The sequence below is a fragment of the Homo sapiens genome, chromosome 4 (genome assembly GCF_000001405.40).
Source record: "Homo sapiens chromosome 4, GRCh38.p14 Primary Assembly".
Taxonomy (NCBI): Eukaryota; Metazoa; Chordata; class Mammalia; order Primates; family Hominidae; genus Homo; species Homo sapiens.
In genome coordinates this window covers 83,473,300-83,485,789 of record NC_000004.12, presented here as the reverse complement: position 1 = coordinate 83,485,789, position 12,490 = coordinate 83,473,300, and the positions used below count along the sequence as shown (strand labels likewise).

Genomic DNA, 12,490 nt, shown 5'->3' with positions numbered 1-12,490 from the left:
GTGTGTAAAATACATTTGCCAAGCCCTGGTCCACTCACCTTACCATTTACATTAAATGAACCAGCTTACTATGATTATGCCTATCATTAAACTGTCAGAACATTAAATATCCATGTATTGTTTAAATTAGGCTGAAGTTTTCTAAAAGCAAGGGAACACACACATGCACACACACAAACACACAGACACAGAACATGGCTAGAGAGTTCTAGCAAAGACAATCCCCAAATGGTTATTAGTATTCTGTAAGTTTCAGTGAGTGAAGGGTGCTAAAATGCAGCTTGAAAACCAAAACCGTGGCATATCCACTGTGGCATCGTAATGTTGCTACTCAACTCTTTTATTCTTGTAATCATTGCTTGTCTTAAAATGACCCTGTCAACCGTGTTCATTTTGATAGCTTTGCATGTTTGTGACAGGTCGCTCAGCAGGCGCAGGCCACCAAAAGCAATTCGCAGCCCTCTGCAGTGGTACCGACATGCAGCGGCCTTCCGGGAGAGGCCGGCAGCAGAAGCGAAGGAGGAGCCGAGCGCGCGGCTGGGGACCCGCCCGCGCCCGCCCTCAGCCCCCTCGCCCCGCCCCTCTGCGGAGCGCGCAGCAGCCCGTGCGCCGGCGCAGGCCCCGCCTCCTCGCTGGGCCCCGCCTCGCTGCCACCACAGGGTCTTGCCTCCGCGCGCCCCGCCCTCGTCCTCTTGTGTAGCCTGAGGCGGCGGTAGCATGGAGGGGGAGAGTACGTCGGCGGTGCTCTCGGGCTTTGTGCTCGGCGCACTCGCTTTCCAGCACCTCAACACGGACTCGGACACGGTGAGCCGAGGGACGGGGCGGGGTCCGGCGTCGCCTGGGAAGAGCCCTGCGCGCGGCCTGCCTCCCCGCTGTTGCTCCGGTCCCCGCCCGCTCCCCCGACGCCGCCGCGCCTCCTCCCTGCGGTCGCGGCTCTGCCTTCTCTCCCCCTCAGCGGTCCCTGAGGTGCCTCGTGCCCACGAAGTCTTCTCCAGCATTAGCCCTCCCTCTGCTATCCTCCGTTATTTCCCTTTTCCGACCCAAGTGTCCCACACGCTCCCATCTTTCCTCGGCGCCCCTGTAGCTGTGGAAACTTGGGCGTGAAAAGATGGAAAGTTCACGGAGCGTCTTTCCGCTGCTCTGCGGAGCCTGCGGTAAACTTTCCGTTTCTCGCGACGCCCGACAGGCGTTTGCAAAACCAGGCGGACTTTTTCATGCAGAGCAGCGTCTGTGCGTGTTTGTTGCGATGGTAGGATGGTAAGGGAATAAAAATAGATGTTGCGTCCAGTGGCAAATCTTAGTGGATGGAACAGCTTAATCTGGTATATCAGATATCTTTTTATTTGCGTTATTAAATTTGTTAAAACAGTTTTTAAAAGTACGTTGCCTATTTTCTAAAAGTTCTATGAAATTAAAGAAACGCTGTAAAACGTTGAGCTCGGAAGTAGTTAATGTCCTGTAGCACTTTCAGTAACTTGCAGAAAGAAAGTCTAAGCATCTGAAATACACTTCCCTGCTGTGTGGTACAGTTCGGAGAATACCCTGCTGAACAATGCCTAGTAATTTCTGCTAAGTTCATTTTAAGATATAACGTCTATTTTACTCAAAATTGCCTTAATATAGGTCGGGCGCGGTGGCTCACGCCTGTAATTCCAGCCCTTTGGGAAGCCGAGGCGGGTGAATCACCTGAGCCCACGAGTTCGAGACCATCGGGGACAACGTAGTGAGACCCGGTCTCTACAAAATCTAAACATTACAAAATTGCTCTTTGGCACAATCCTAATAAAGGTTGGAATTGGTATGTTTTATGTATACAATTTCAGATAACCTTACAAAGTAATACCTAATAAAGAACAAATATATGACCATTTAAAATATATGTGTAGCTGTGGAAATTATTTTGGAATACCTGTAGTGTAGATAGAGTGGGACCGTAAATCCTCGGTAGCTTAAACGATTAGCCCTTGGGAAGTACCTGAGTGCTAGGGAGGCCCCTGTTTCTCAGATCTTTTTCCTGAAGTCTTTAAAGGGTGGTTTTTCTGGCTAGTTGCACTTGCATTGCCCCCCTGCTTCCCTTCCCTGAGTTCGTCTTTTGAGTATCAAAATCAAGAACACTAGATTCTGGATATCCCCCCGCGTGATTCCAGTAAAGACTCACATTATGGAAATAATCCTTTTTTACTTTTAGGGGAAAAAAGCATTATTAATTATAAAGAATATAAAATATTTCTGTAATCACAGCACTTTGGGACGCGGAGGCAGGAGGATCATTTGAGCCCAGGAGTTCAAGACCAGCGTGGGCAACATAAGGAGACCTCATGTCTACAAAAAAATTTTAAAAATTAGCCCGGCGTGGTGGCACGTGCCTGTAGACCCAGCTACTTGGAAGGCTGAGGCAGCAGGATTGTTTGAGCCTGGGAGGTCAAAGCTGCAGTGAGTAGTGATTGCACCGCTGCACTCCAGCCTGGGTGATGACAGAGCTAGACCTCTTCTCAAAAAAAAAAAAAAAAAAGATATAAAATCTTCATTGTCAAGCACATTGGGTCTTTAAGTGTGCCTAGAGAAATTGAATTCCCCAAAACTCAGATAAATTACCACTGGGGTGGCAGAATACAAGTAGTTTTAAAAGAATCGGGCTCACAGCACTCCTTTTAGAAAGCAGACTCTGAAATTGAATTTAAATCTTTCATATTGTGCATGAGTTTTAATCAGAAAACACTAATCTTGTCATTTCGTACCTTAGAAGCTTTCTGTAACTCCCAGAAGCACATGTGGTTAAATCCAGAGTAGTCATTCGGGGTGTCCCATTATTGGCTCGTTCTTATTTATCTTTGATTTCCTTCTGCTCCAAGGCAAAGTGCTCTGCTCATTCTTCAGTGTGTGCTCATTTCTGGCTTTAAGTCTTATATGCTTCCAAGTGTGCCCAGTGCTTCATGCTCTGCCTACACAAATATTGCCCATAGCTTTAGTCTAATCTGTAGCCTCCCCAGGGCTACAGGGCTAATCTGTAGCCTCCCCAGGGCTACTCTGATTATTTCAGGCTAGACTAATCTCTTTCCCTTCCTCTCCTCTTTATTTCTACTTTTTTTCTTTTGAGGCAGAGTCTCACTCTATCGCCTGGGCTGGAGTGCAGTGGCGTGATCATAGCTCACTGCAGCCTCAACCTCCTGGGTTCACGTCATCCCAAGTAGCTGGGACTACAGGCATGTGCCACCATGCCTAACTAATGTTTCTCGTATTTTTTGTACAGACGGAGTTTTACCCTGTTGCCCAGGCTAGTCTTTAACTCCTGGGTTCAAACTATCTGCCCACCTTGGCCTCCCAGTGCTAGGATTACAGGCGTGAGCCATCTTGCCTAGCCTCTTCTCATTTTTATTTAACTCTTCATCTTTCCCAAGTAAACTAGAAGCATCTCAGATCTTTCATATGTGCCCCCGACTGGTAGCACATATTGTATACATAGTAAAATACTCAGGAAATACGGTTAGTTAAGTGAACAGTAATTCTATCAGTGTATTCTATATATTGCCTCTTTATCTTCATAGGAAGGTTTTCTTCTTGGGGAAGTAAAAGGTGAAGCCAAGAACAGCATTACTGATTCCCAAATGGATGATGTTGAAGTTGTTTATACAATTGGTGAGTTATTTATTTCTCCTATATTTGAATCATCTGTGTCTCCTATATTTGATAGTTTATGCTGAAAGGGGTCAGCGTAAATTATTATTTTTAAATTAGGAAATACAGAGGCTGGGCAAGGTGGCTCACACCTGTAATCCCAGCACTTTGGGAGGCCGAGGCGGATTACCTGAGGTTGGGAGTTTGAGACCAGCCTGGCCAACATGGTGAAACCCATCTCTACTAAAAATACAAAAATTAGCCAGGTGTAGTGGTGCATGTCTGTAATCCCAGTTACTTGGGAGGCTGAGGCACGAGAATTGCTTGAACCTGAGAGGCAGAAGTTGCAGTGAGCCGAGACTGTGCCACTGCACTACAGCCTGGGCAACAAAGCGAGACTCTGTCTCAAAAAAAGAAAAATAAGAAATATATATTAATTTTAAAATAATTTAAAAGGATATGTTGTACTCATTTTGCAGTTAAAATTATGACCATGGACTGGTCTAAAGTAAGAAATAGTATGAGACTTAGGAAGCAGATAAGATTACTGCCAGGGAAACAAGGATGAAACACCTGCTGTTTAGTAGGAAGATGGCCCGGCAATAGGAAGACCAAGGAAAAAGATAAAATGTTAAATGCTGCAGAAAAGTTGGAAGATGAGAACTGAGAAAATGCAGTAATTAGATTATTAGATGACTGAAAATCCTCAGTAATTTCTGGAGCGTAATGGGGAAGAGACCAGGCTGTAAAGGGTTTGAGGAGTGGGTGCTAAAGCAGTTATAACTGGTGGCAGCTTCTCTTTTAGGGAAAAGCAGGGGAGAACCTTTAAAATGCATAGGGAAAAAAATGGTTAAAAGAAATAAAATGTATAGGGAGTTTTCTGATTGTCTAATATAGTTTTTCTCTATATATGTGTATGTATTTTTAAACAAAATTGGTAGTGTACTTTATAAAAGGTTTGGCATCATATTGTGTCATGATCACTTTACAATGTTGCATAATCCTCTACAATATTATTTTTCATTTCTTTTCTTTTTTTTTTTGAGGCAGAGTCTCACTCTGTTGCCCAGGCTGGAGTGCAGTGGCGCAATCCCGGCTCACTGCAACCTCCGCCTCCCAGGTTCAAGCGATTCTCCTGCTTCAGCCTCCCAAGTAGCTGGGATTACAGACGTGTGCTGCCACGCCCGGCTAACTTTTTGTATTTTTATTAGAGATGGGGTTTCATTATGTTGGCGAGGCTTGCCTTGAACTCCTGACTTCAAGTGATCCACTCGCCTCGGTCTTTCAAAGTGCTGGGATGACAGGCGTGAGCCACCATGCCTGGCCTACAATACTATTTTTCATAACTGCATTGTGTTCTACCCTGTGGCCTTACTGTGATTTAAACATTCCTTTAAATATGTTATAATCAGCTGTTTCTAGTTTTTCATTATCATAAAGTATACTACAGTGAATATCCTTGTATATCAATATTTGGCGTTATCTATTATAGATTCCTAGATATGGTATTACTGTGTCACAGGGTATGAACACTTGTAAGGTTTTTGATCTGCATTAGCAGATTGCTTTCCGGAAAGATTATATCAGTTTGTACTCATACTGTATGTTATTTTTGTTTGCTACTTTACAAGTTTAAAAATAGAAATATATAAAGTAGGAAATAAAAAATTTAAACTCTCATTAGTTTCCTTAGTGGCAACTACTATTTCATGGATTCTTACTAGCTTGCAATATTCATAAAACACACAAATGTAAATGTGTGTGTGTATATATATGTGTATATATACATTTTGTTTTTGTTTTGAGATGGAGTCTCATTCTGTCGCCCAGACTGGAGTGAAGTGGCATGATCTCGGCTCACTGCAACCTCTGCCTCTCGAGGTCAAGCGATTCTCCTGCCTCGGCCTCCGGAGTAGCTGGGATTACAGGCACACGCAACCATGCCCGGCTAATTTTTTTTGTATTTTTAGTAGAGATGGGGTTTCACCATGTTGGCCAGGCTGGTCTCGAACTCCTGACCTCAAGTGATCCTCTCACCTCGGCCTCCCAAAGTGCTGGGATTGCAGGCGTGAGCCACCATGCCCGGCCAAATGTGTATACTTTTTATTTACACAAATGGGATCTTACTATATGTGCCTAATATCTCCCAAGATATCACAAGTACAGAATAGTATCTGTGTGTATAATTCATCACTCTTTGTTTTTTTTTTTTTTGAGATGAGGTCTTGCTCTTTCAGCCAGGCTGGAGTGTAGTGGCACAAACACTGGTCACTGCAGCCTTGACCTCCTGGGCTTAAGCAATCCTCCTGCCTCAGCCTCCTGTATTGCTGGGACCATAGGTATGCACCACCACGCCTGGCTAATTTTTTATTGTTTGTAGAGACAGGTTCTCACTTTGTTGCCCAGGCTGGTCTCAAACTCCTAGGCTCAAGCAATCCTCCTGTCATTACAAAGTGTTTGGATTACAGGGGTGAGCCACCATACTCGGCCCATCATTCTTTCTGCTGGCTGCATATATCCTGTTGTATAGACGTACCATAATTTTTTTAACCATCTAAGAATGATTTTCTGGGTTTTTTTGTTAACATAAACAGTATTACCATGAACATTTAGTATTGTACATTTCTTTGTGCTGTTGAGTGTATATTTGAAAGTCACACTCCTGGAGGTAGACTAGCTGATTGCCTTTTGGAAAACTTATGCCATTTTAGGCTTCTCCACAGTATATAAAAGTGCCTAGGTCCCCATACTCTTTTTTTTTTTTTTTTTTTGAAACAGAGTCTCACTCTGTCACCCAGGCTGGAGTGCAGTGGTGGGATTCCGGCTCACTGCAACCTCTGCTTCCCGGGTTCAAGTGATTATCCCTGTCTCAGCCTCCCGAGTAGCTGGGATTACCGGCGACTGCCACCACACCCAGCCAATATTTGTATTTTTAGTAGAGATGGGGCTTTGCCATCTTGGCCAAGCTGGTCTCAAACACCTGACCTCAGGTGATCTGCCCGCCCTGGCCTCCCAAAGTGCTAGGATTACAGGCGTGAGTCACCATGCCCGGCCCCCATGCTCTTGCCAACACTAGGTATTATCAAATCTTTTAATCTTTGCCAATTTGATAAGTGAAAAAAATAGCATTTTAATTTGCATTTCTTAATTACAAAAGAGGTTAAGTATTTTTTTGATACTTTTTACTTTTTTTCTTGGCCATTTTCTCTGAAAAGGATAGGCCTATTCTTTGGCTGCATTTGTACTGTTTTGCTTTTAGTGATTTGTAATCACATTACTTAAGGAAACTGGGCTTTTGTCATGTTTTATACATATGCTAATACAGTTTATAATTTTTTTTCTGTCAATAAACACTTTAATGAGAACCGAGGTCTATAATATATATAGCAGTAACCACCCTGGCCTATGCCTTCTGCTCTAGCCCAAGTCTGGGGCCCAACCAGTTACATTTAACCCACATTTGGAAAGCAGGCCATTTTCAGTGTCATCCATTAGTATCCATCTTCATAGAAGATACCAATCTGGGGCTAGAGTCTCAATGTTAACACTTTCTCTCAGGGAAAAGTTAACATGGTAACACAAACATATAAATAACTTTGAACCAACATCCTACTGTTCTTCCATCAGGAGGCCCTTAGGAGACCAACGGTTTGGTAAACACTTAGAACTTTGCCAAAATACATTAGAACACGGGAAAAGGGAAAAGGAGTAGAAAGGCTGGCAGGGCTGGGCTCACATATAATTCAGTCCTTAGATTTAAAGCCTCTTGAGCTACTCATATGTAATTTAAAGAATGATGTTCCAGGGTCCACGCCAAAGCCAGTTTGGCCAAAATCCTTTAGAATACAAAAAAGCCCTCATGTTTCCACATTTTTAAAATACCATCCAAAGTGCCCTTATAGAGATCCACATGTCCCACGATTGCCCTCTGGTTCATCACGTGAGTGCCTGCCACATCACCTGGATTAGAGGCAAGAGCCCCAGCCAAACCATATGTAAAGCTGGAAACAAAGTGAGTTAAAGTTGTGTCTTCCATCATTCCTGACAATATTAAGTGCTTCTTAGTAAAATCATAGACTGGTAGCTCTACTCCCACAACGATGGCAGCATGCTGAGCAGTTGGAACCACACTCCTCCACAGACCCCTGGTGCCTTCCTGTTGGTATATATCGATGAAGCTGCCAATCATGCTCCCTTGGAACAAACTTCCTTGAGCCTGCATTCGAATCTTTAGAACATCGGTGGGATTGGCTATAGTGGAAAATATCACCCCTGACACTACCCCACAGATCATGTTGATTAAAAGAGTTTCATCTTCTAAACGTTCTACAGATAATTGCTTCAAGCTTTGGTAAATCCCAATTTTAATGGTGCCATATGATGCTTGTCTTTGCAAAACAGGAGCAATTCCTGAATACAGAGCCAATACACCTTCCGCTTTATAGATCCAAAACAAAGCATGAAACATCCGTCTATATTTTGTTTCTTTGAAACGGACATCAATGCTTTGGCCTTGAACCTACCTGAAGTCGTGTTTTGGCAAGGTCCATGGGGAAAGTTCCAAACTCAGCAGTGATAGAGGCAAGGCGTCATATACAAAGGGTTTCCAGTTCAGACGAGACATCTCATGGCTTACAGTGGTACTTTGCTGCTGCTCAGGCTCATCAGATGACTGGGAAACTGAGGCTCCCACAGTCAGAAATGCCACTGCAGTGGCAACCCGGAAGCATTAAAACCCTGTAGTTTATAATTTTACTGTAGTTTTTTTTTTTGGTTCGGACACTTGAGTTTTAAAAGCAAGCCCTTTATAGCAATACAAGATTATTTTTTAAAAATTAAAAAATAAAAGCAAGCCCTTAGAGCATTTTTTTTCCCTAATTGAAATTAGCGTGCCGCCCAAAGTATCTAACATAGTTCTAGGCATTTAATTAAGCAAATGTGTACTGAGCAACTGCATTGTGGTATTAGGTACAGTGCTAAGCTCTAAGGTATTTGCTCCAGTTATTTTAAATGTTGGATTATCACAGATGTTTAAACACGTAAAATCCAAGATCAACATATTATTCCATTGCTTTGGTTAAGGAGATTTTCATCATTTTAAATTCCTTTAACAGGTGAGTTTATTAATTGGGCACATTTAGAGCACAGCCTTTTTAGAACTCGGTGAAAATGTGACAACTTTGAATTTATCTTTTGTGTTGGACTTATTAGACCGTTATTTAGAGGAAATATAGCATTGTGGTTCCAGGCGAGGCTCTGGGTTTTGAACTCTGGCCCTACCACTGGATTGGGTGAGCCACTTATCTCTCTTTACCTGTTATATCATCTTTGAAAGGGGAATAATGATAGTATATGTCGCAGATTTGTTGTGAGGATAAAAATCAGATAATCAGTGGTAAAGTACTTCCTGGCGTGAGGTAAAGGCTCAATATGCAGCATTCAGGTGATTCTGAATTGAATTAATGTAATCATAACTAAAAATCCTTTTCTTCCAGACATTCAGAAATATATTCCATGCTATCAGCTTTTTAGGTAAGTAGTAGTGCTAGTAAGTAAATGATCCATTGTGAAAATTACTCTCTGCAAGTGAAATAGTTTTTAAAACTAACAGATTATCTTAGTTATAACCTATACATGGTGGTACTGAGTAGAATGGAAAGTTTTTTTTAAATAGCTGAAAAAATCACTTGTGTATTGTCAACCCTAGCAGTTCTTTCTCTGTATTTATATTACTTAATGCTGATCTTCATTACCTTTCCCAGGCACCAGTTTACGTTGAGAATTGCTTTTTCTTCTCACACCCAGTCACCTCATTGCATATTATAAACTCAGTAAATGAAGTGTTCTTATACATCATCAATAGCAGCCCTTTTTTCTACCCTTTTATTTCAGCATATTTTAGCAACTGGTTCCTCACTTATATTTTTTAGTGTTATTTTTTGTCTGTTAGCTGGTTATGTTCTTTTTCTTTTTGAGACAGGGTCTCACTCTGTCACTCAGGCTGGAGTGCAGTGGCGTGAACACAGCTCACTGCAGCCTTCACCTTCTGGGCTCAGGTGACCCTCTCCACCTCAGCCCCCCAAGTAGCTGGGACCACAGGCACCAGCCACCACACCCAGCTAATTTTTATATTTTGGTAGAGACAGGGTTTTGCCATGTTGCCCAGGCTGGTCTCAAACTCCTGGGCTCAAGCCGTCCTCCTTCCTCTGCTTCCCAAAGTACTGGGATTACAGGCGTGAGCCATTGCACTCAACTGGTTATGTTCTTTAACCTGTTTCTTATTGCTTTTCTAGGATGAATGCTTGCACTTAGTCCTACAGATAGTCATAGTACTGTTAACTCTAATACATTGTGTATTTTTTAGCTTTTATTGAGTATAACATACACGTAGAAAAGTACACAAATAAATGAATTTTCATAAAGCAAACACATGTAATCATGTAACCATAGCATGGTGTAATTTTAATGAAATAGTTTTATGATTTATATAAACCACGCAAGAAAAATCAGCACAAACAGCCTGGGCAACATGGTGAAACACTGTCTCCACTAAAAATACAAAAATTAGCCAGGAGTGATGGCATGCTTCTGTAGTCTCAGCTACTGGGGAGGCTGAGGCAGGAGGATCACTTGAGCTCAGGAGAAAGAGGCTGAAGTGAGCTGAGGTCATGCCACTGCATGACCTGGGTGACAGAGCAAGACCCTGTCTCCAAAAAAAGGAAAAGAAAAATCAGCATAACTATCTTACAGACTATGTACTATACACATCTTTAAAGTTATATAAGAATTACAGTGGAGCATATGGTTAAGGTGAGAACTAACTGTAGGAGGAGAACAGAAAAAAGGAGCTTAGTGTGGTCTTTTAAACTGCTATACCAAGAAAAGGCACAGTTCCTATACTGCCTTATGTGTAATGGACATACAAAAATATTTGTTAGATGACTGAGGAATTCTTAGTGGAGACTCATAAAAAGGACTTTATTGAAGGATCTTCTGGACCAACAAAGGATTTAAAGGAACAGCAAAAAGTGATTCAGTACCTTTTTCAACCACATTAATAATTAGACTAACTTAATAGAAGCTGAGACCTGAAGAAACCATCTATTTCAGTGATGAGAAACCAATGCCTGAGCCTTTTAGCTCTTACAGGATTAAAGCGGGGTGGAAAGGCATTAGGAGAGACATGTGAAATACCTCTCATTCAGAGGGTAACTACATACTTCATTAAACAACACAATAATAGGCCTGAAAAGTTCATGATTTAACCAAGACCACAGATCTAGTTAATGGTAGGGCAAAAATGAGAAGAATAAGGATTTCTTGAGCTCTAATCCAGCATCATACTATGCAGTTTCTTCCTCTTCCTGCTCTAATTACAGGGGTTGCTAAAATAGAGCCCCACGATGTAGTTTTTATGTGGCCCTCGATCTGAGACTGTTTACTACTTTTTTTTTTTTTTTTTGAGACAGAGTCTTGCTCTGTTGTCAGGCTGGAGTGCAGTGGCGCAATCTCGGCTCACTGCAACCTCTGCCTCCCAGGTCCAAGCAATTCTTCTGCCTCAGCCTCCAAGTAGCTGGGACTCCAGATGGGTGCCACCAAGCCCGGCTGATTTTTTTTGTATTTTTAGTAGAGATGAAGTTTCACCATGTTGGCCAGGATGGTCTTGATCTCTTGACCTCGTGATCCACCCACTGTGGCCTCCCAGAGTGCTAGGATTACAGGTGTGAGACACCCACGCCTGGCCTTGTTTACTACATTTTTAAAGGGTTGTAAGAAAAGGAGGAAAAATATGCAATAGAGACTGGATGTGGCCATCAAAGCCTGAAATATTTTCTATACAAGCCTTTACAGAAAGTTTGTTAACCCTGCACTAAATACATTAGGATGCAGACTTCCACTGAAATACACTGATTTGGTTACCTCAGAAATGTGGAGGAAGTACCTGGGAAATAGCCTACTGAAACTTAGTGTGTGGATGGATAGATAGAGATTTTATTTATTTATTTATTTATTTATTTATTTATTTATTTTTTAGACAAGGTCTCACTCTGTTGCCCAGGCTGGAGTGCAGTGGTGTGATCTCAGTTCACTGCAGCTTCCCAACTCCCAGGTTCAAGCGATTCTCCCACCTCAGCCTCATGAGTAGTTGGGACCACAGGCCTGCACCACCACGCCTGGCTAATTTTTTTTTGTTGGTGTATTTTTAGTAGAGATGGGGTTTTGCCACGTTGGCCAGGCTGGTTTCAATCTCCTGACCTCAAGTGATCCACCCACCTCAGCCTCCCAAAGTGCTGGGATTAAGGCGTGAGCCACTGTGCCCGGCTTCTGAAACTTAAAGTCACTTTTTAAAAAATTATGCAGGTGGGTCATGGTGGCTCACGCCTATAATTCCAGCACTTTGGGAGGTGAGGTGGGTGGATCACTTGAGCTCAGGGAGTTGGAGACCAGCCTGGTAACATGGCGAAACTCCCTCTTTACAAAAAATACAAAACAGCTGGGTGTGTTGGCATGCCTGTAGTCCCCATTACTAGGGAGGGTGAGGTGAAAGGATTGCTTGAGGGCAGAGGTCAAGGCTATAGTGAACCACAGAGCGAGACCGTGTCTCAAAAAAAATTATGCAGTTTGACATGAATTCTGCATGTTATATCAGTTTCTACATAAAATGCCACCCCCTTCATCTTCTCCCCAGAAACTTCACATAAACCTAGTGCTTCCAGAGATGATGTGCAGTTATCCTGTTACTAATCTTACCCTAATATACTGCTTTATGCTCCGATTTGAGCTCAGAAGTGGACCATTCTAGGGAAATATAGGAATAAATTCTTGTCTTTAGAGAAGAATTTCTTGTATTTTCATATTGGAACTGTAAGTAGAC

General features: G+C 42.5%; 1 protein-coding gene and 1 pseudogene across 3 annotated transcripts in view, besides 1 other annotated feature; one reads left to right on the top strand and one right to left on the bottom strand.

Moving 5' to 3' along the window:
• Positions 475–964: a silencer, noted in NCBI's record as "silent region_15542". NCBI's record gives its function as "represses an Ori minimal core promoter by ATAC-STARR-seq in GM12878 lymphoblastoid cells {active_cell/tissue: GM12878}" and the evidence as "EXISTENCE:reporter gene assay evidence [ECO:0000049][PMID:35858748]".
• ABRAXAS1 (abraxas 1, BRCA1 A complex subunit) overlaps positions 690–12,490 on the top strand; it is a 25,584-nt gene continuing 13,783 nt past the window's right edge. For all 3 annotated transcript variants that reach the window (XR_001741334.3, NM_001345962.2, NM_139076.3), the window contains exons 1-3: positions 690–804; positions 3,546–3,636; positions 9,111–9,147. Coding sequence is in view for 1 of the 3 variants with exons in the window: in NM_139076.3 (NP_620775.2) it covers positions 718–804; positions 3,546–3,636; positions 9,111–9,147 (215 nt within the window). In the remaining 2 variants the exon portion in view is untranslated. The remainder of the gene's footprint in view (positions 805–3,545; positions 3,637–9,110; positions 9,148–12,490) is intronic.
• SLC25A14P1 (solute carrier family 25 member 14 pseudogene 1) lies at positions 7,169–8,352 on the bottom strand (annotated as a pseudogene).